The sequence below is a fragment of the Homo sapiens genome, chromosome 11 (genome assembly GCF_000001405.40).
Source record: "Homo sapiens chromosome 11, GRCh38.p14 Primary Assembly".
In the NCBI taxonomy this organism is placed as follows: Eukaryota; Metazoa; Chordata; class Mammalia; order Primates; family Hominidae; genus Homo; species Homo sapiens.
The window spans coordinates 49,763,014-49,784,346 of NC_000011.10; the positions used below are offsets into that span (position 1 = coordinate 49,763,014).

At 36.3% G+C, this 21,333-nt stretch overlaps 1 pseudogene across 1 annotated transcript in view; it reads left to right on the top strand.

The window, feature by feature from the left end:
- The window catches only part of GRM5P1 (GRM5 pseudogene 1), a 251,892-nt pseudogene that overhangs the window by 204,486 nt on the left and 26,073 nt on the right, over positions 1-21,333 (top strand). The window contains exon 3 of the transcript NR_027044.1: positions 20,810-21,059. The product of NR_027044.1 is annotated as a GRM5 pseudogene 1 (transcript). The remainder of the gene's footprint in view (positions 1-20,809; positions 21,060-21,333) is intronic.

Here is a 21,333-nt window from a genome sequence, read left to right on the forward strand (position 1 = left end):
ATGGTTGAACTAATTTACACTTCCATCAACAGTGTAAAAGTGTTCCTATTTCTCCACATCCTCTCTAGCTTCTGTTGTTTCCTGACTTTTTAATAATCACCATTCTAACTGGCCTGAGATGTATCTCATTGTGGTTTTGATTTGCATTACCCTAACGACCAGTGATTACGAGCTTTTTTCATATGTTTGTTGGCTGCATACAAGTCTTCTTTTGTGAAATGTCTGTTCATATCCTTCACCCACTTTTTCATGGGGTTGTTTTTTTTTTTGTAAATTTGTTTAAGTTCCCTGTAGATTCTGGATATTAGCCCTTTGTCAGATGGATAAATTGCAAAACTTTTCTCCCATTCTGTATGTTGCCTTTTCACTCTGATGCTAATTTCTTTTGCTGTGCAGAAGCTCTTTAGTTTGATTAGATCCCATTTGTCAATTTTGGCTTTGGTTGCCATTGCTTTTGGTGTTTTAGTCATGAAGTCTTTGCCCATGCGTATGTCCTGAATGGTATTGCCTAGGCTTTCTTCTAGAGTTTTTATGGTTTTAGGTATTAGTTTAAGTCTTTAATCCATCTTGAATTAATTTTTGTAAAATGTGTAAGGAAGGGATCCAGTTTTAGTTTTCTGCCTAAGGCTAGCCAGTTTTCCCAACACCATTTATTAAATAGGGAATCCTTTCCCCATTGCTTGTTTTTGTCAGGTTTGTCAAAGATCAGGTGGTTGTAGATTTGTGGTGTTATTTCTGAGGCCTCTGTTCTGTTCCATTGGTCTATATATATTTGTTTTGATATGAGTACTATGCTGTTTTGGTTACTGTAGCTTGATGGGGATAGCATTGAATCTACAAATTACTTTGGGCAGTATGGCCATTTTCACAGTATTGATTCTTCTTATTCATGAGCATGGAATGTTTTTCTATTTGTGTCCTCTCTTTATTTTTTTGAGCAGTGGTGTGTAGTTCTCCTTGAAGAGTTCCTTCACATCCCTTGTAAGCCTGGTTCAACATATGCAAATCAATAAATGTAATCCATCACATAAATAGAACCAATGACAAAAACCACATGACTATCTCAATAGATGCAGAAAAGGCCTTCGATAAAATTCACCACCCCTTTACGCTAAAAAATCTCAATAAACTAGGTATTGATGGAACGTATCTCAAAATAATGAGAGCTATTTATGACAAACCCACAGCCAATATCATACTGAGTGGTCAAAAACTGGCAGCATTCCCTTTGAAGTCCTGCACAAGACAAGGATGCCCTCTCTCACCATATTTAACATAGTATTGGAAGTTCTGGCCAGGGAAATCAGCCAAGAGAAAGAAAGAAAGGGCATTCACATAAGAAGAAAGGAAGTCAAATTGTCTCTTTGCAGTTGACATGATTGTGTATTTAATAAACCCTATCATCTCAGCCTGAAATCTCCTTATGCTAATAAGCAACTTCAGCAAAGTCTCAAGATACAAAATCAATGTGCAAAAATCACAAGCATTCCTACACAACGATAATAGACAAATAGAGAGCCCAATCATGAGTGAACTCCCATTCACAATTGCTACAAAGGGAATAAAATACTTAAGAATACAACTTTGTTCATTTTAAACTCTGTCATTATAATACTCTATTGTATCCTTCTGGAGCGCCACTGTACTCTCTTATCCTATTATTGCCAGTGTAGTCTTACTTGCAGTTTAATTCATGTTACCTGCCTTCGGAAACCTCTTCTATTGCACCTCTTTATGTATCAAGTTTGGGCCTCCCCCTTGTAATCTTAGCCTACTTGCCCTCCCATCGTATAGCCTCAACCGTAGGCAGACTGGATCTTGACCACATACTACCCACTTTAACCTGCCTATGCTCTGTTTACTCCATCTAGAATGCCAAAGTCAACTCCTTCTGCAGGGTCAAATTTAAATTATACTTTATGAACAGATCTTTTCCTAGTACAGCAAAACAAAAGTAACAATATTTTCCATTCTACATCATTAAACGTTCACCTTTATTGTACTGGATCTTTATAAAAAGAGAGTCTCTATTATAGCCAGTTAAGTCAGTGGTCCCTTCAAAGTCATGGAGTAACTGAAAATATGATAGAGATCATTGACTAGAAGAATTTTAGGATATTTTATTGGCATAGTCCAGTGTTGTGCTGGAACCAGTTCATCTAGGCAATTGTAAGAGAATTGTTAAATTTTTAAGTGTCTGTTGTTAAACACAGCCATTATTAAAAATTAAATTCTATAAACAATAATTAAGCTATAAAAAATTAAAGTTAAATATCAGACAATTCTAATTAAACATAATTCCTTTTAAAGTATTTTACAGTTTTCTATGCTCTTTAGGCTATTTTCAGCTCTACTGTCTATGTGGTCAACATAATATATATGAGTGTGTTGTTCCCCTCCGTGTGTTCATGTGTTCTCATCATTCAGCTCCCACTTATAAGTGAGAACATGTGGTGTTTGGTTTTCTGTTTCCCAATTCATTTGCTAAGGATAATGACTTCCAGCTCAGTCCATGTCCCTGCAAAGGACATGATCTCATTCATTTTTTATAGCTGCATAATATTCCATGGTGTATATGTACCATTTTTTTTTAATCTGGTCTATCGTTGATGGACATTTGGGTTGATTCCATGTCTTTACTATTGTGGATAGTGCTGCAATGAACATACACATGCTTGTATATTTATAATAGAATGATTTATATTCCTTTGGGTATATACTCAGTAATGGGATTGCTGGGTCAAATGACATTTCTGACTCTAGACCTTTGAGGAATTGCCATACCATCTTCCACAATGGTTGAAATAATTTACATTCCCACCAACAGTGTAAATGTGTTCCCATTTCTCCACAACCTCGCCAGCATCTGTTATTTCTTTACTTTTTAAAAATCACCATCTGACTGGCATGAATTGGTGTCTCATTGTGGTTTTGATTTGCATTTCTCTAATGATCGTGATGTTGAGCTTTTTTTCATATATTTGTTGGCTGCATAAATATTTTCTTTTGAGAAGTGTTTGTTCATGGCCCTTGCCCACTTTTTAATAGGGTTGTTTTCTTCTTGTAAATTTATTTAAGTTTCAGGTAGACTCTGGATATTAGACCATTGTCAGATGGATAGATTGTAAACATTTTTCCCTATTCTGTAGATGGTCTGTTTGCTCTGATGATAATTAGGAAGAGCATCAGGAAAAATAGCTAATGCATGCTGGGCTTAATACCTAGGTGATAAGTTGATAGGTGCAGCAAATACCCATGGCACAGATTTACCTATGTAACAAACCTGCACATCCTGCACATGTGTCCCAGAACTTAAAAAAAAATGAAAAAATAAAATCTTCCCTATAGATACAATATCAATACTACACAGTCGTTGTCACACTAGTCACCATATAGTAAAAAGACAAACATTAAATTTTATAATCAGAGTAATGCAACTAGTGTCACCATAGAAATATGCAGTGGATATATCTATTGACATTTATTCTATTTGAATTTAAAACTGAGAATTTTTAAGTGTTTGTTATTCATTTACTCTGCATGTTAACATAAACAATGTTTTTATGAAAATGCCTATATTTCCCCAAAAAACAATAAAGTTTACTAAGTGAAATAAACTAGTCACAAAAAGAAAAAAATATATATAACAAAACAATGTAGGGAGCAGGTCTAAAAATCTACTCTCTAAGGTTTCTTAGAATACATATAATTTTGTAATTGAGGAGACAAATTTACATAAAAAAGGTAAGCCATTTCCCAAAAACCATGTAAGTGATAAATCAAACAAATACATTTTCAATCACTGCCTCCTCACTCTGTCGAGGGCATTTGTGACTAAGCTGTGCTGTCCTTGATACTATATCTTATCTTAGCCCAGCTTAGTGCTTTTATATCACAATGAATGCAGAGTAGCTTCAATAACAGAAGCTGCTATACACAATGATTCATAGTGGATGCTCAGTAATTTACTTATGAAAAATTGCTGTTCATTTCCTAAAATGTATTTATTCAACAAATATTTAGGTTGCCTAGGCTCTAGAGATAAAGGGTGTAATTAACCCCTTTGTTTAACTATCTCACAGTCTTTTATGGAGTAAGACAAATACGTAATTACAATAAAACATAAACAATATCCTATGACATTGGAGGGGAGTTGAGCAATGAGAGTACAGTGGAAGATATCTGTTTAGAACAGTGGGCCAGGTGTGGTGGCTCATGCCTGTAATCCCAGCACTCACTCTGGGAGGTTGAGGCTTCCCAAAGCCTCCTGGGATTGCTTGAGCCCAGGAGTTCAAGACCAGCCTGGGCAACATGGAGAAATTTAGTCTCTAAAAAAAAATACAAAAATTATCTGGGTGTGGTACTGTGTGCCTGTAGTCCCAGCTAACCAGGAGGCTGAGGTGGGAGGATCACTTGAGCCTGGAAAGTTGAGGCTGCAGTGAGCCGTGATTGTACCACTGCACTGCAGCCTTGGTGACAGGAGTGAAACCTTGTCTCAGAAAAAGCAACAACAACAACAACAATAAAAACTTAACTTAGATAATTCTGTCACTTTCAGCTGACTCTTGAAGGATGGGTAGGAATTAGCTAAATAGAAGGGTATTCCAGGAATAAGAGAGATTGTGTGAAATTTAGGGATGTAAAAAAGCCTAGTGTATTTGATCTACGTATCCTTTGTTATGGCTGGAGCATGTGCTGTGCCTCAGGAAAAGGCAGGCAGTGAGACTGGAGAGAAGAGTCAAGCAGCAGATCATGAAAAGTTTGGATGCCATTAAATATCCTAAGAAGTTTGAATTCTACCCTGAAATGTATAGGATCTAAATTTCTTTGCATGCCTTAAGTGATACTGTCTAATAGAAATGTAATGCTAGCTATATTTGTAATTTTAAGAAAGAGTAAAAATAAATGATATTAAATTTAATAATGCATTTTATTTAACCCAATATATCCAAACTTCTATCATTTTAACATGTAATCCACATATTAAAGGGATATTTTGCATTCTTTCTTTTGTATTAAATCTTTGAAATGTATTTTGTGTTTTACACTGAACATCTCAATGTGGCAAGTGGCTATTAAACTGGACAGCACAAGTCTAAATTATAGAGGAAAGTCACCAAGGCTCTAATGCCTGAACACAGCATAGTTACCCACTCTTAAATGAGGCTCAAAATTTGGCAACAATGACAGCACAGCCATTACACTACATTTTAATTCTTTCTTCTCATTTCTGCATCCAAAGTGAGTTCCTCCTCTTAGTACTGTGTTTAGACACCAAGTCCTTCCAAAGGGAATCTGGCTACAACAGAACCCAGACAGCACAGATCCAAACTGGAGAAGGTGGTGGCAGGCCAGGGAGCTGCTGTCAAAGAAGCGACTTTTTTTCAGCAAAAGCTGTCAAGCATGAAGAGTTTTGGCTACGCTGTAGAGGATTTTCTGCCTTCAGCTGGTGATGGGAGAATTTCTGCATTGTCATTAGATCCAGTTAGAATCAAGGATCATTGGTGACTAGTGAGCTAAAACAGGCAAAATAAATAACTCACCAATCCACCCGACCCATTGACACACAGCTCCATATAGAGTTTTCTCCTTTCTGTGGAAACGGAATTACTTTTAATGAGACATGCACCGAAGGCTTCAGCTGTGAATTTGACAGCTTACAAAGAAAGCAGAAAGAAGTTGAATTCTGGAAGCTTAGAGTGCGAATCTGGGTCATAGCTTCTGTCTCAAGTTTTTATTTTCCTCTAGGAAGAATAGCCAGAGGAAAAAAATGAGGAAGACTCCAATATTTTTAAGAAGATTAAAAAAGTGATTTTTTTATTATGCAAATCTCAAACCATTTAAAAAAATAATAAAAGCTTGGAATATTACAAAAAATTTAACACCAAAATCACTGTTTTTGTCATTTTCTATGGCCCCTCTGAAGTTCCTCCCTCTTCAGCAATGATGTAGTTAAGTAACTAATACAATATAATATGGTAAGTCTATTTTCAAGAGCCCCCTCTTATTTTACAGGACTTTGTCCATAGAAAAGCTATGATTAAGCGTTGTGTATTTTGTAGAAAGGCTCTGAGATTTAAACACCATCTATCAGCAACATGAGGACTGAATCATTTAGTGCTAAATCACATACATCTATAATCTTTTGGAAATTAAGCAAAATACTTATATATTAAATAATATGTTTGCTGAGACAAATTCAATTCAGTAGCATTTGGAATTAGTTTCAAATGAAACATTTAGTAGCAGGCCTTTGGAAGAACCACAGGACTAAATTGAACAATTTTTACCCAGTGTCTTAAGAGTAACAATATATGGAAGGCAAAGAGAATGGGCTTTGAAATTTGACAGAATGAGGGTTGAAATTTCAGCTCTTCTATTTACAAGCTGTCAATTATTTGGCAAATTCTTTCAGCATCAACACCTTCTTAGAAATGTGGGAAATAATAGCAACTTCATTAGGTTGGTTGGTTTTAATAATAACACATTTGGAGTGAATAGTGCAATAATTTGTTCATATTATTATTAACCTTTTACCAAATAATTTTACAGGATCTAGATAAATGTTGAGGATGGTGATGATGATGATTATTTAAAAAATCGTGTATTCAGTGCGTACTCTGTTCCATGCTCTGGGCTAAGTACTTTACCTAAAATAACCCCTTCTTAATATGAGCAAACAAAACTTCTTGAATTTCCAGATTCTCTTCTAATCACCACCATACTCTTAGCTCTTGTTCACTGCCAAGTGTCTCAAAAAAGTTGTATAAATATATTGTCTTCACTTTTTTTACTCCCATTCACACAAGCCTACTCCTATATATCTTCTACTATGTTGCCAGAATTAGTGGATTTTTTTCACTACACATCTTACTTTAGTTTTCAACAGAGTAAATGTTTTTAAAAAAAGAATGTAAAAACAGTTTCTTTTCCTGATTTCCATAAGAATATATTATCTTGGTTTCTCTTCTTCTTCTTCATTGTCTTTGTGAGCTATTCCTTCTCAGTTAATGCACACATATTTGAATTCTTTAGGGTATAACTCAGAGATCTCTTTCCTTCACTTCCTACACTTTTATCTATTATTGTTGCTATCCATATTCTGAGGACTCCCAAATAGTTCCAACTCAGACTTCTATTCTCTTAGCCAGAATGTTCTTATTTAATTTCCTACTTGGCATGTCTACTTGGCTATTTCACAGAAATTTAAAAATTTCTTTCCAAATTTGGTTTTCTTTCAATTTTGTTTGTATCAGCTCATTCAACCCAATTATATGAACTAGAGTTGCTGGAGGAAGTAGATACATGTTGAAAATCAACTTTTGATTCCAGGGCTCAGGAATCTACCAAACCAAATATGACACTCAAACTTGTTGTCCTCAACATGTATGGCAGTTAAAACTGTCACATATTCTTCTTTAAATAATCTGATTTCCTGTTTTCTGCCATATCTAAATTTATTTGATCAACATGTACCTTTGCTCTTAAGATCAAACTTCTTTCTCTAACTCCATACTTGATAGCCAGAAGAAAAGTTCACCAACTCAGCATACCACTCAGCAAAACACTTGGCATATACTTTTATGGCAATATTCAGTAGCCCTGGTTGGTATTCCTTTAAATAATGTTTTATACATATAGTTTAAAACCCATGAGTGGGGCTATGCATAGTTATAAACTTATAACTTCTCTATATTTATTACATAATTATACTAGCAATTTGTGTTCTGCTTAATTTACTGTTGAAGAGCTCATCAAATGTTACTACATAATCCATTCCTAGAGTAATAACTAAAGCAAATTTTCTAAATGAGATCCTTCTGGTACTTCCAATAATAAACACCTTGGATGAGATTCAATAATGCCGTGCCTAATGCTTAATGCTGTGGTATATGGGTCATGTTATAGAAAGACTCCAGGGCAGGATGAGAAATAATTGGGCCATTGTTCAAAACTTGGAAAACTGTTTGTTAGCAAAGTTTTCATATCCATGACATTTATAGTTCAGGTACCTTGATGAAGGTGCATGATAATGATAACTTTTTCTTCCAGTCCTTTGGCTTTAAAACTTTCACGTTAATCATATGTCCAGGTTCCTAAACACCTAAATCTCAATTATATAGGAATTTTTAGGAATATTTCTTGGATCATTTAACTTCCTTCTTTCTTTCCATAAAAATATGTATACACATTTCTTGCATCATTTAACTTCCTTCTTTATTTGCATAAAATATGTATATACAATGTTTTGTTGTGAAGATAGAAATATCTGCATTAAAGAACACTGTCTAGTAACAGGAAATAAATATAAACAAATGAGTGTAATACAGAGTTTAGAATGTCACATCCATTGCACATATGGCTGTAGTGGGAAAAATGGCATCAAACAAAAGAACATCTTTATGAAACTGTTAATAAAATAAGAAGAGGTGCTTCACTGTCAAGCTTTTCCCACTCCTGGCCATTTTGGTTAATCACTAGTTTAAGCCACAACCCTGTCAATATGGGCAGTTTGGGCCAAGATCTCTTGATGAACACTTCTAATTCACATTAAAGGACACGAAGTGGAGACTGGACACTGCTTATATGTATATTTAGGGGATGATATCATGCCAGACTAATGTCACAACTCACATGAGAAATGACTGAGTTTTACTTCACTAGTAGTTGTCAGTAAAATGAACTGTGTTTACAGTAGCAACAGGATATTAATAGTTAAAGCCACTTGAAATATACTTTAAAATAATTGTTTATATTGGGAATCTTAATTTCCTTGCGAGAAAAAGATAATTTGGACCAACTAAGATGGAAAATAAAGTTCTATTGTAGAAGGTTAAACTTATTCATTTTCTTTGCAAAGATTTAGTATTTCCTGAAGTGAATACTTTCTGAAAAAGTATTTTCCACGTTCTTTTAGCATCTGCTTGGTGTTCTGCTTAGAAAAATGTATTTACTCTTCCAAAATTTTTTTGCCTATTTTTCTGTACTACTTTTCTGTACAAGAAATACGTAAGTACCTACCATGTGATGATATGTAGTTAAATAAAGCATTAACTACCCTCTATGGGCTCACAGTTTTGAAAAGAAGGATGTGTAAATACATCCAAAATATAATGAATATATGCAACAGGCAACATATATAATATAGAATATCTATTTTAATTTAAGCCTAATTTATTATAATACTCAGTACCTTAACTCATTTCCTGACTCTGAGGCATTTTAGAAATCCCATGATAAAACACATTATTTAAAGTGAGTTATGTTTCCTAAGGAAAAAATTCAACATCATGGTTTATATTTTTAACCAAGTTTTCAGCATCAAATAAATCATGAGTATAATCAGCCTTGTTATAAAGGTGAAGGATCCACAATTATAAACTTTTTTAGCAATTACAAATTACAGCGATTATACAAATACTGTAATTAAACAATGGCACTATGGAGAAGATGTAGTCTCCATCCTAAAGGAATCTAGGGAATTGAATTTGTACAACATGGAAAAAGGTATTCCACGTAAAAGAACAGCATTAGTAAAAATAAATAAATGAGAGTATGTGGGGTGTCTATGATACATATGAAAGAGTATAGTAAAAAGTACAAAACAATAAATAGTGGTTGGTAGGGTTTGGGAAAATGAAAAATAAGAGATGATAGAGAAAATAGTATACAAGCTTCTATGCAGTGAATCGGGGTCTGATTTATGGAAAGAGAAGTAAAGATACTATGAAAAAAAAGAAAAGTATCAAAGAAAACAAAATTACTTGTATCTTTACTATAATTATAATAGTTTGATTTTGATTCTAATGATAGTTTTCCCTAACACATGAGATGGATAAATTTAAACAATATATTTAATGGCTATTTTGCTAGAAAAATGAATATCTCACTAGGTATACCTTGTCTATGCTGTTGTACTTTATTATCTTTATCTTAAAGTGGCCACTGTTACACAGTTGTTAATGATATTGAATTTGTACCATCTGAAATAGCATTTACCTGTGATTACAAATTACTTACTAAAGTATGATTTGGTGCCTTTTAACGTACAGTTCAAATAAAAATTTTTTCCTAGGTTAGCAGAAAGTTTTTTATTATTTAATTTAATTTAATTTTATATCCAGGGTGTTCATGTGCAGGTTTGTTACATAGGTATATTGCCCTTTGTTGGATTTGAGGCTTGTAGTGTACCCATCACCCAGATGTGAACATTGTACGCAATAAATAATTTTTCAACCCTTACTCCCTTCCTACCCTCTTCCCTTTTGGGGTCCCCAGTCTCTGTTACAGAAGAAAGTTTTAAAGTTACTCTTTAACAAATCCTGTTTCCAATGTGTGCTTTATAGGGTCAATGTAGGCAGATACTTCCAGATCCCAGCTGATGCAATTCAGGTCAAATAGTATTAGTGAAAGCACTAGCTTTAAACACTATTTGAGGTTGAATTATTAAAATCTGTTATGATCTGAGGAAAAAACTGGGGTACTCAGGGTAAATATTTTGATTATTGTGCAACTCTGTTCATGTTTTAAGTGAAATATTTTATAATAGCTTATTAGAGTGGTGCCCCCTAGACACGATGTGGCAATCCTGATTGCTGGTCACATAGTTGGGCAATTATTTTAATCTGGAAATAGACATTCATTATTTTGTACTGCTCATTCAATAATTTATTTATTTATTCAACATGTGTTAGTTATCTAACAGGTCTCATTAGCGGTACAAAAGTGAATAATATACTGTTGTTGCAAATGGCAGAAATTTTTCTTTTTAAACCCATTTTTTAGGGTTTTTAGGCTGACTAGTATTTCATTGGGTATATATATACACCACATTTTTTAATTCATTTATCTGTTGATGGATATAACTTGGCTTTTGTAAATAATGCTGCCATGAACGTGGGAGTGCAATTAAAATTAGCTGGAAAGGTAGCCGGAGGTAGGGGTGCTATATCATATAATAATTCTATTTTTAGTTTTGTTGAGGAACTTCCACGAAGTTTTCTATTAATGGGTGTACTAATTTACATTTCCACCAAGAGTAGCATATAAAGAACTTCTGTGAGTTTTATCCCTAAAACAGGATAAAATGATAAAGCAGAGAGAAGACAATTACTTTTAAAATTATCTGCATCAACTCTCTCCTTTCAATGACTTTTAACTATGCTAGTTTATTTTTTTCATTAAATGTATATTTTCATATTTTTAAAAGTCAAATAGTACAGCAGGGCTTAAAGTGAAAAACAAGTGTTTTAGTTTTTCATCCTTTTATTTTCACCTCCATATCTCTAATATGAATATGTCTTTTTAAAAAGTAACTACTTTTAAATGACTATAGACATTATCTCTTACCTTGTACATCTTCTTATTCCTTCTTTTAATATAATTCTCTCACTACATTAGCTGCCTCCTGATTATTTTAGCATCCAATAATTCCCTTAATCACATACATTTTATTTTCTGTATATCTTGACTTCCAAATTGGGAGTGGGTGATTTAATGGCCTTCCTCTTCCCAACAACTTTCCCTGCATCTACCTCTCAGCCTCCATCATCTTTCTCTTTAATTGTCATTGTAAAAGTTGATAACAAATGTATTTTATTGCATAATGAGTTTTTCCATTTGTCTATAGGTGGATTCTTAAGGTTGAAAATCAATGAGTGACATTTGCATCATTATACCTGTAAGTAGTGTGAGCTATGAGTGAAGACATTGGGCTATGATTACATTTTCTCCACATAATTCCAAGTTGTAAACCCTCTGCTACCTAAAGAAGAACGTTCTATGGATTCTGTCTTACTTCTATTTATTGTTTAAAATGAAGTCACATGTTAGTTTCATATTTTATACCACAGCTTTCTTTCTCAGTTACTAGTTTCCCTCTATTGGAAAAAGTAATAGTTGCTTCCTTAGCTTTTTCCCCATTCTACATATTACTTGAAATGTGTTCTATTCTTATTTGAGAAGCCTGTAGACTTTTTTTTTGCTGCACTTTTTTCATTATTTTAAAATGTATAATTATAGAATACAGTGTTTCTATCAACTACCAGAAAGTTTCAACACTTCAGTCTTTTCCATTTTTTTATTATTATTACTATTATTATTATTATTTATTTTTTTTAATTATACTTTAAGTTTTAGGGTACATGTGCACATTGTGCAGGTTAGTTACATATGTAAACATGTGCCATGCTGGTGCGCTGCACCCACTAACTCGTCATCTAGCATTAGGTATATCTCCCAATGCTATCCCTCCCCCCTCCCCCCTCCCCACCACAGTCCCCAGAGTGTGATATTCCCCTTCCTGTGTCCATGTGATCTCATTGTTCAATTCCAACCTATGAGTGAGAATATGCGGTGTTTGGTTTTTTGTTCTTGCGATAGTTTACTGAGAATGATGATTTCCAATTTCATCCATGTCCCTACAAAGGACATGAACTCATCATTTTTTATGGCTGCATAGTATTCCATGGTGTATATGTGCCACATTTTCTTAATCCAGTCTATCATTGTTGGACATTTGGGTTGGTTCCAAGTCTTTGCTATTGTGAATAATGCCACAATAAACATACGTGTGCATGTGTCTTTATAGCAGCATGATTTATAGTCATTTGGGTATATACCCAGTAATGGGATGGCTGGGTCAAATGGTATTTCTAGTTCTAGATCCCTGAGAAATCACCACACTGACTTCCACAATGGTTGAACTAGTTTACAGTCCCACCAACAGTGTCAAAGTGTTCCTATGTCTCCACATCCTCTCCAGCACCTGTTGTTTCCTGACTTTTTAATGATTGCCATTCTAACTGGTGTGAGATGATATCTCATAGTGGTTTTGATTTGCATTTCTCTGATGGCCAGTGATGATGAGCATTTTTTCATGTGTTTTTTGGCTGCATAAATGTCTTCTTTTGAGAAGTGTCTGTTCATGTCCCTCGCCCACTTTTTGATGGGGTTGTTTGTTTTTTTCTTGTAAATTTGTTTGAGTTCATTGTAGATTCTGGATATTAGCCCTTTGTCAGATGAGTAGGTTGCGAAAATTTTCTCCCATGTTGTAGGTTGCCTGTTCACTCTGATGGTAGTTTCTTTTGCTGTGCAGAAGCTCTTTAGTTTAATTAGATCCCATTTGTCAATTTTGGCTTTGGTTGCCATTGCTTTTGGTGTTTTAGACATGAAGTCCTTGCCCATGCCTATGTCCTGAATGGTAATGCCTAGGTTTTCTTCTAGGGTTTTTATGGTTTTAGGTCTAATGTTTAAATCTTTAATCCATCTTGAATTGATTTTTGTATAAGGTGTAAGGAAGGGATCCAGTTTCAGCTTTCTACATATGGCTAGCCACTTTTCCCAGCACCATTTATTAAATAGGGAATCCTTTCCCCATTGCTTGTTTTTCTCAGGTTTGTCAAAGATCAGATAGTTGTAGGTATGTGGCATTATTTCTGAGGGCTCTGTTCTGTTCCATTGATCTATATCTCTGTTTTGGTACCAGTACCATGCTGTTTTGTTTACTGTAGCCTTGTAGTATAGTTTGAAGTCAGGTAGTGTGATGTCTCCAGCTTTGTTCTTTTGGCTTAGGATTGACTTGGCGATGCGGGCTCTTTTTTGGTTCCATATGAACTGTAAAGTAGTTTTTTCCAATTCTGTGAAGAAAGGCAGTGGTAGCTTGATGGGGATGGCATTGAATCTGTAAATTACCTTGGGCAGTATGGCCATTTTCACGATATTGATTCTTCCTACCCATGAGCTTGGAATGTTCTTCCATTTGTTTGTATCCTCTTTTATTTCCTTGAGCAGTGGTTTGTAGTTCTCCTTGAAGAGGTCCTTCACATCCCTGGTAAGTTGGATTCCTAGGTATTTTATTCTCTTTGAAGAAATTGTGAATGGGAGTTCACTCATGATTTGGCTCTCTGTTTGTCTGTTGTTGGTGTATAAGAATGCTTGTGATTTTTGTACATTGATTTTGTATCCTGAGACTTTGCTGAAGTTGCTTATCAGCTTAAGGAGATTTTGGGCTGAGATGATGGGGTTTTCTAGATAAACAATCATGTCGTCTGCAAACGGGGACAATTTGACTTCCTCTTTTCCTAATTGAATACCCTTTATTTCCTTCTCCCGCCTAATTGCCCTGGCCAGAACTTCCAACACTATGTTGAATAGGAGCAGTGAGAGAGGGCATCCCTGTCTTGTGCCAGTTTTCAAAGGGAATGCTTCCAGTTTTTGCCCATTCAGTATGATATTGGCTGTGGGTTTGTCATAGATAGCTCTTGTTATTTTGAAAGACGTCCCATCAATACCTAATCTATTGAGAGTTTTTAGCATGAAGGGTTGTTGAATTTTGTCAAAGGCTTTTCTGCATCTATTGAGATTATCATGTGGTTTTTGTCTTTGGCTCTGTTTATATGCTGGATTACATTTATTGATTTGCATACATTGAACCAGCCTTGCATCCCAGGGATGAAGCCCACTTGATCATGGTGGATAAGCTTTTTGATGTGCTGCTGGATTCGTTTTGCCAGTATTTTATTGAGGATTTTTGCATCAATGTTCATCAAGGATATTGGTCTAAAATTCTCTTTTCTGGTTGTGTCTCTGCCCGGCTTTGGTATCAGAATGATGCTGGCCTCATAAAATGAGTTAGGGAGGATTCCCTCTTTTTCTATTGATTGGAATAGTTTCAGAAGGAATGGTACCATTTCCTCCTTGTACCTCTGGTATAATTCGGCTGTGAATCCATCTGGTCCTGGACTCTTTTTGGTTGGTAAACTATTGATTATTACCCCAATTTCAGCTCCTGTTATTGGTCTATTCAGAGATTCAACTTCTTCCTGGTTTAGTCCTGGGAGAGTGTATGTGTCGAGGAATGTATCCATTTCTTCTAGATTTTCTAGTTTATTTGCGTAGAGGTGTTTGTAGTATTCTCTGATGGTAGTTTGTATTTCTGTGGGATCGGTGGTGATATCCCCTTTATCATTTTTTATTGTGTCTATTTGATTCTTCTCTCTTTTCTTCTTTATTAGTCTTGCTAGTGGTCTATTCATTTTGTTGATCCTTTCAAAAAACCAGCTCCTGGATTCATTGATTTTTTGAAGGGTTTTTTGTGTCTCTATTTCCTTCAGTTCTGCTCTGATTTTAGTTATTTCTTGCCTTCTGCTAGCTTTTGAATGTGTTTGCTCTTGCTTTTCTAGTTCTTTTAATTGTGATGTTAGGGTGTCAATTTTGGATCTTTCCTGCTTTCTCTTGTGGACATTTAGTGCTATAAATTTCCCTCTACACACTGCTTTGAATGCGTCCCAGAGATTCTGGTATGTGGTGTCTTTGTTCTCGTTGGTTTCAAAGAACATCTTTATTTCTGCCTTCATTTCGTTATGTAGCCAGTAGTCATTCAGGAGCAGGTTGTTCAGTTTCCATGTAGTTGAGTGGTTTTGAGTGAGATTCTTAATCCTGAGTTCTAGTTTGATTGCACTGTGGTCTGAGAGATAGTTTGTTATAATTTCTGTTCTTTTACATTTGCTGAGGAGAGCTTTACTTCCAACTATGTGGTCAATTTTGGAATAGGTGTGGTGTGGTGCTGAAAAAAATGTATATTCTGTTGATTTGGGGTGGAGAGTTCTGTAGATGTCTATTAGGTCCACTTGGTGCAGAGCTGAGTTCAATTCCTGGGTATCCTTGTTGACTTTCTGTCTCGTTGATCTGTCTAATGTTGACAGTAGGGTGTTAAAGTCTCCCATTATTAATGTGTGGGAGTCTAAGTCTCTTTGTAGGTCACTCAGGACTTGCTTTATGAATCTGGGTGCTCCTGTATTGGGTGCATGTATATTTAGGATAGTTAGCTCCTCTTGTTGAATTGATCCCTTTACCATTATGTAATGGCCTTCTTTGTCTCTTTTGATCTTTGTTGGTTTAAAGTCTGTTTTATCAGAGACTAGGATTGCAACCCCTGCCTTTTTTTGTTTTCCATTGGCTTGGTAGATCTTCCTCCATCCTTTTATTTTGAGCCTATGTGTGTCTCTGCACGTGAGATGGGTTTCCTGAATACAGCACACTGATGGGTCTTGACTCTTTATCCAACTTGCCAGTGTGTGTCTTTTAATTGGAGCATTTAGTCCATTTACATTTAAAGTTAATATTGTTATGTGTGAATTTGATCCTGTCATTATGATGTTAGCTGGTGATTTTGCTCATTAGTTGATGCAGTTTCTTCCTAGTCTCGATGGTCTTTACATTTTGGCATGATTTTGCAGCGGCTGGTACCGGTTGTTCCTTTCCATGTTTAGCGCTTCCTTCAGGAGCTCTTTTAGGGCAGGCCTGGTGGTGACAAAATCTCTCAGCATTTGCTTGTCTGTAAAGTATTTTATTTCTCCTTCACTTATGAAGCTTAGTTTGGCTGGATATGAAATTCTGGGTTGAAAATTGTTTTCTTTAAGAATGTTGAATATTGGCCCCCACTCTCTTCTGGCTTGTAGGGTTTCTGCTGAGAGATCCGCTGTTAGTCTGATGGGATTCCCTTTGAGGGTTACCCGACCTTTCTCTCTGGCTGCCCTTAACATTTTTTCCTTCATTTCAACTTTGGTGAATCTGACAATTATGTGTCTTGGAGTTGCTCTTCTCGAGGAGTATCTTTGTGGCGTTCTCTGTTTTTCCTGAATCTGAACGTCGGCCTGCCTTGCTAGATTGGGGAAGTTCTCCTGGATAATATCCTGCAGAGTGTTTTCCAACTTGGTTCCATTCTCCGCATCACTTTCAGGTACACCAATCAGACGTAGATTTGGTCTTTTCACATAGTCCCATATTTCTTGGAGGCTTTGCTCATTTCTTTTTATTCTTTTTTCTCTAAACTTGCCTTCTCGCTTCATTTCATTCATTTCATCTTCCATTGCTGATACCCTTTCTTCCAGTTGATTGCATCGGCTCCTGAGGCTTCTGCATTCTTCGCGTAGTTCTCGAGCCTTGGTTTTCAGCTCCATCAGCTCCTTTAAGCACTTCTCTGTATTGGTTATTCTAGTTATACATTCTTCTAAATTTTTTTCAAAGTTTTCAACTTCTTTGCCTTTGGTTTGAATGTCCTCCCGTAGCTCAGAGTAATTTGATCGTCTGAAGCCTTCCTCTCTCAGCTCATCAAAATCATTCTCCATCCAGCTTTGTTCTGTTGCTGGTGAGGAACTGCGTTCCTTTGGAGGAGGAGAGATGCTCTGCGTTTTAGAGTTTCCAGTTTTTCTGTTCTGTTTTTTCCCCATCTTTGTGGTTTTATCTACTTTTGGTCTTTGATGATGGTGATGTACAGATGGGTTTTTGGTGTGGATGTCCTTTCTGTTTGTTAGTTTTCCTTCTAACAGACAGGACCCTCAGCTGCAGGTCTGTTGGAATACCCTGCCATGTGAGGTGTCAGTGTGCCCCTGCTGGGGGGTGCCTCCCAGTTAGGCTGCTCGGGGGTCAGGGGTCAGGGACCCACTTGAGGAGGCAGTCTGCCCGTTCTCAGATTTCCAGCTGCATGCTGGGAGAACCACTGCTCTCTTCAAAGCTGTCAGACAGGGACATTTAAGTCTGCAGAGGTTACTGCTGTCTTTTTGTTTGTCTGTGCCCTGCCCCCAGAGGTGGAGCCTACAGAGGCAGGCAGGCCTCCTTGAGCTGTGGTGGGCTCCACCCAGTTCGAGCTTCCCGGCTGCTTTGTTTACCTAAGCAAGCCTGGGCAATGGCGGGTGCCCCTCCCCCAGCCTCGCTGCTGCCTTGCAGTTTGATCTCAGACTGCTGTGCTAGCAATCAGCGAGATTCCGTGGGCGTAGGACCCTCTGAGCCAGGTGTGGGATATAGTCTCGTGGTGCACCGTTTTTTAAGCTGGTCTGAAAAGCGCAATATTCAGGTGGGAGTGACCCGATTTTCCAGGTGCGTCTGTCACCCCTTCCTTTGACTCGGAAAGGGAACTCCCTGACCCCTTGTGCTTCCCAGGTGAGGCAATGCCTCGCCCTGCTTCGGCTCGCGCAGGGTGCGCGCACCCACTGGCCTGCGCCCACTGGCACTCCCTAGTGAGATGAACCCGAACCCGGTACCTCAGATGGAAATGCAGAAATCACCCGTCTTCTGCGTCGCTCACGCTGGGAGCTGTAGACTGGAGCTGTTCCTATTCGGCCATCTTCAGTCTTTTCCATTTTATTGGAAGACATATTCTCTTTGTCTCCCAGCTTACAAAGGATTTCTTTTGTTAAATAAAAATTATATTCTGTAAAATTTTTATGTCACACATGTATTAAAGCTGTTTCTTATTTAAATGTTTAAAGTAAACTTTCTTTCTTAGAGCAGTTTTTGATTCACTGCAAAATTGAGTGAAAATTTTTCATATACCCCCTGCCTTTTTTAATTTTAAAGAGTACAGCTTGAGATTTTCTCTGGGAAAATAATACTTTATTCTGCTAGTGTAAGCTTATTTTTTTAGTCTAGTGTACAGTAATAGTGCCATTTGCTCCACTGTTTGTTTTGGATGCTCCAGTAAAGAGTAGCTAAACTCTGTCTAGAATATTCTTTATAATTTCAGTAGGTTCAATTAATTGGGTTCAGGTGACCTACCAGATAGTTTGCATACATTAAATATAATATTAAAATATCTGAATATTAAGCTGTGTTACTTCAGAAAGCTGAGATTACAAAGACTATATAAACTGAAGTTGAACTCAGGTTTCTCTAATAACAAAGTTCTCTCCACTATTTCAAGCTGCTTCTCTACAACATATTGTATAAACAAAAACAGTGTTAAAGCTGTTAGGAACAAAGTGCTAAATAATCTGAATTTGTTAGATGTCTTTTCTGTTTAACAGTGAATGTATTGAGAATAAAAGTAAATAAATGATGTGAAATTCTCAATAAATTCACATCACAATCACTATACCTAATTTCAAATTATTTATGCAAATGCCTCTGCATTAAATCAAAACATGAAATGCAAGACAGTCTGTTGAAAAACAGAGTTAGCTAAAAATAAATCAAAGAATAATAGATTACTCACATTAGTGTAAAACTGGTAGTAATTTAGGCCCATTGGCACATTTTTCAGAAAGTGCCCTTTAAACTTTGTTAATTGCAAAATAACTAGATTGCCCACCTGCCATCATGACAGAGGCTTCTTGTTGCTTTTAATTCTGGAGAAGGAGGGAAAAGATGCAGCTGGCCCACCAGTATTTTTGGCTGAGACTCAAGCTGACCTGCTCTGCTCTGCCCTTTGCAGTTTGTTCACGGAGATAAAGCTTCACCAAAATCCACCCTCAAAGTTAACAGATTTCATAGGCAGCAAGGTACCTGTGGTATGGTAACACCCACATCAGGACAGGAATCAGAGATATATGTTCAAACTAAGATCCTGACACCTACTATCTGTATTTGAACTTCAGTTTTATCAGCCAAGGGGAGATAACATTAACCTTTATCACAGAGTTGTTGTAAGGAGCAGTGAGCTAACATATATAAACTGACTTTCCCAAAATCAAATTGTTGTGGAGTTGTATTTATTGCAGTTATAGACATATAGTGAACCCTATGCAACTGAATGCCCACAGTGCTCCTATTAATTTGATATCTACTCTTCCTGATGAGATTCCAGTTCCTAGGTCAAGTTGATTTTTAGGTCAGTCTCATCCTTATATGTTCTACAGCTTGGTTATCTTGTAATAGCCTCTTGTATTCTTCAAAGCAATCCCCCTCATATATCTAATATTTTGAAAATTCAGAATATAAGCCCTGTATAAAATATAGAGCCTTAAAATGTTCCAAAAATATCTAAAATTGGAGAATTGTCATGCTGAAATGGGAAAGAGAAATGCGGATGTAATTAGAATTCTGAGACTCCTAAGAGTCAGCCTTGGACAAGTAGAGGGAGCAGGACCTATGCTATTAGATCTGTGAATGGAGTTCAGCCCTCCACTTACTGCTAGTGTAACTCAAGGTAAATATGGACCTAACTGCTCTATCTGTTTTCTGATCTATGTATGGAATGGAGCTCATAATATCTACATCGATATTTTATTGTGAGTGCTAAATTAGATCACATATATAAAGGTCCTTGTGTCCTGGCATATAGCTGACTGTCAATATTAATCCCCCTTTTTCATTAATTTTAAAAGACTAACATTAGTCCTTAGTCCCCAAATTTTGCAAAAGACTTTGAACTTTTTATCCTTATCAATAACTTCCCCATGGTTGTATAGGATAAAACTGTAAATGTTTTTCATAAGTTTACACATTCATCTGTGGCAAGACTAAATCTTAAGCAAGGATCTCAGTTTTTCATTTAAGACCAAACCATAAATTCTCATGATTATAAGTATATAATATACTGAATATTATATATAGTATAATACTTTATAAAATATTTATATGGCAACATATATACTATATAAACTACATGTATTACTTGTATGTACTATAGCTTTAAATACAAAAATCTCAGTGGGATGAAATTGTCATCAATGAGAAATAAAGGGAAGTGAGATAGAATGCAAAAAAAAAAGCAGATAAATATTTCCATCAACTCATATTTAGAATAAGAGCTATTTTGAGTCATAAAAGGATGATGAATTGCTTACACTGTTTATATTATTCTCTCCATCACAGTGAAAATATAAATGATCAATGCATATATAATGTGGTTCAATTGTAATTTGCCCAAAATAAGCAATTCAGCAAAAGATCAAAAACCAAAATTCAGGTCTTCAGGTTGCAAGTCCCATACCAATGACTTTCATGCTCCTAACACCTGCATTCTGATTATACCCAATTAATGCAACACTCTCATTTCACTATCCCTCTGCTTATCTATGTTTTCACACAGGCAACTATGGAGAAAGTGGGATGGAAGCCTTCAAAGATATGTCAGCGAAGGAAGGGATTTGCATCGCCCACTCTTACAAAATCTACAGTAATGCAGGGGAGCAGAGCTTTGATAAGCTGCTGAAGAAGCTCACAAGTCACTTGCCCAAGGCCCGGGTGGTGGCCTACTTCTGTGAGGGCATGACGGTGAGAGGTCTGCTGATGGCCATGAGGCGCCTGGGTCTAGTGGGAGAATTTCTGCTTCTGGGCAGGTGAGTGATGATAAGAAAATTTACATGGAGTTAATACCAGGAATTTGGCAGCACCGAAGGGTAGCTTTTAGTGTACAATAAAAAATTCTTTCAAAGCTTAGTCTGTGCAGTGGAAATAGAGCTTAAATTTCATAATGCACCTGTGCCTGGAGAAAATCATGGGAAATAAGTAGATCCGCCATGTGCTGATTAATAGTAAAAGGAATCAACAAATGAAGATGATGCATCTTTAAGTCCTAAAAACCATGACTGTAAGGTAATGAAATGGATTTTT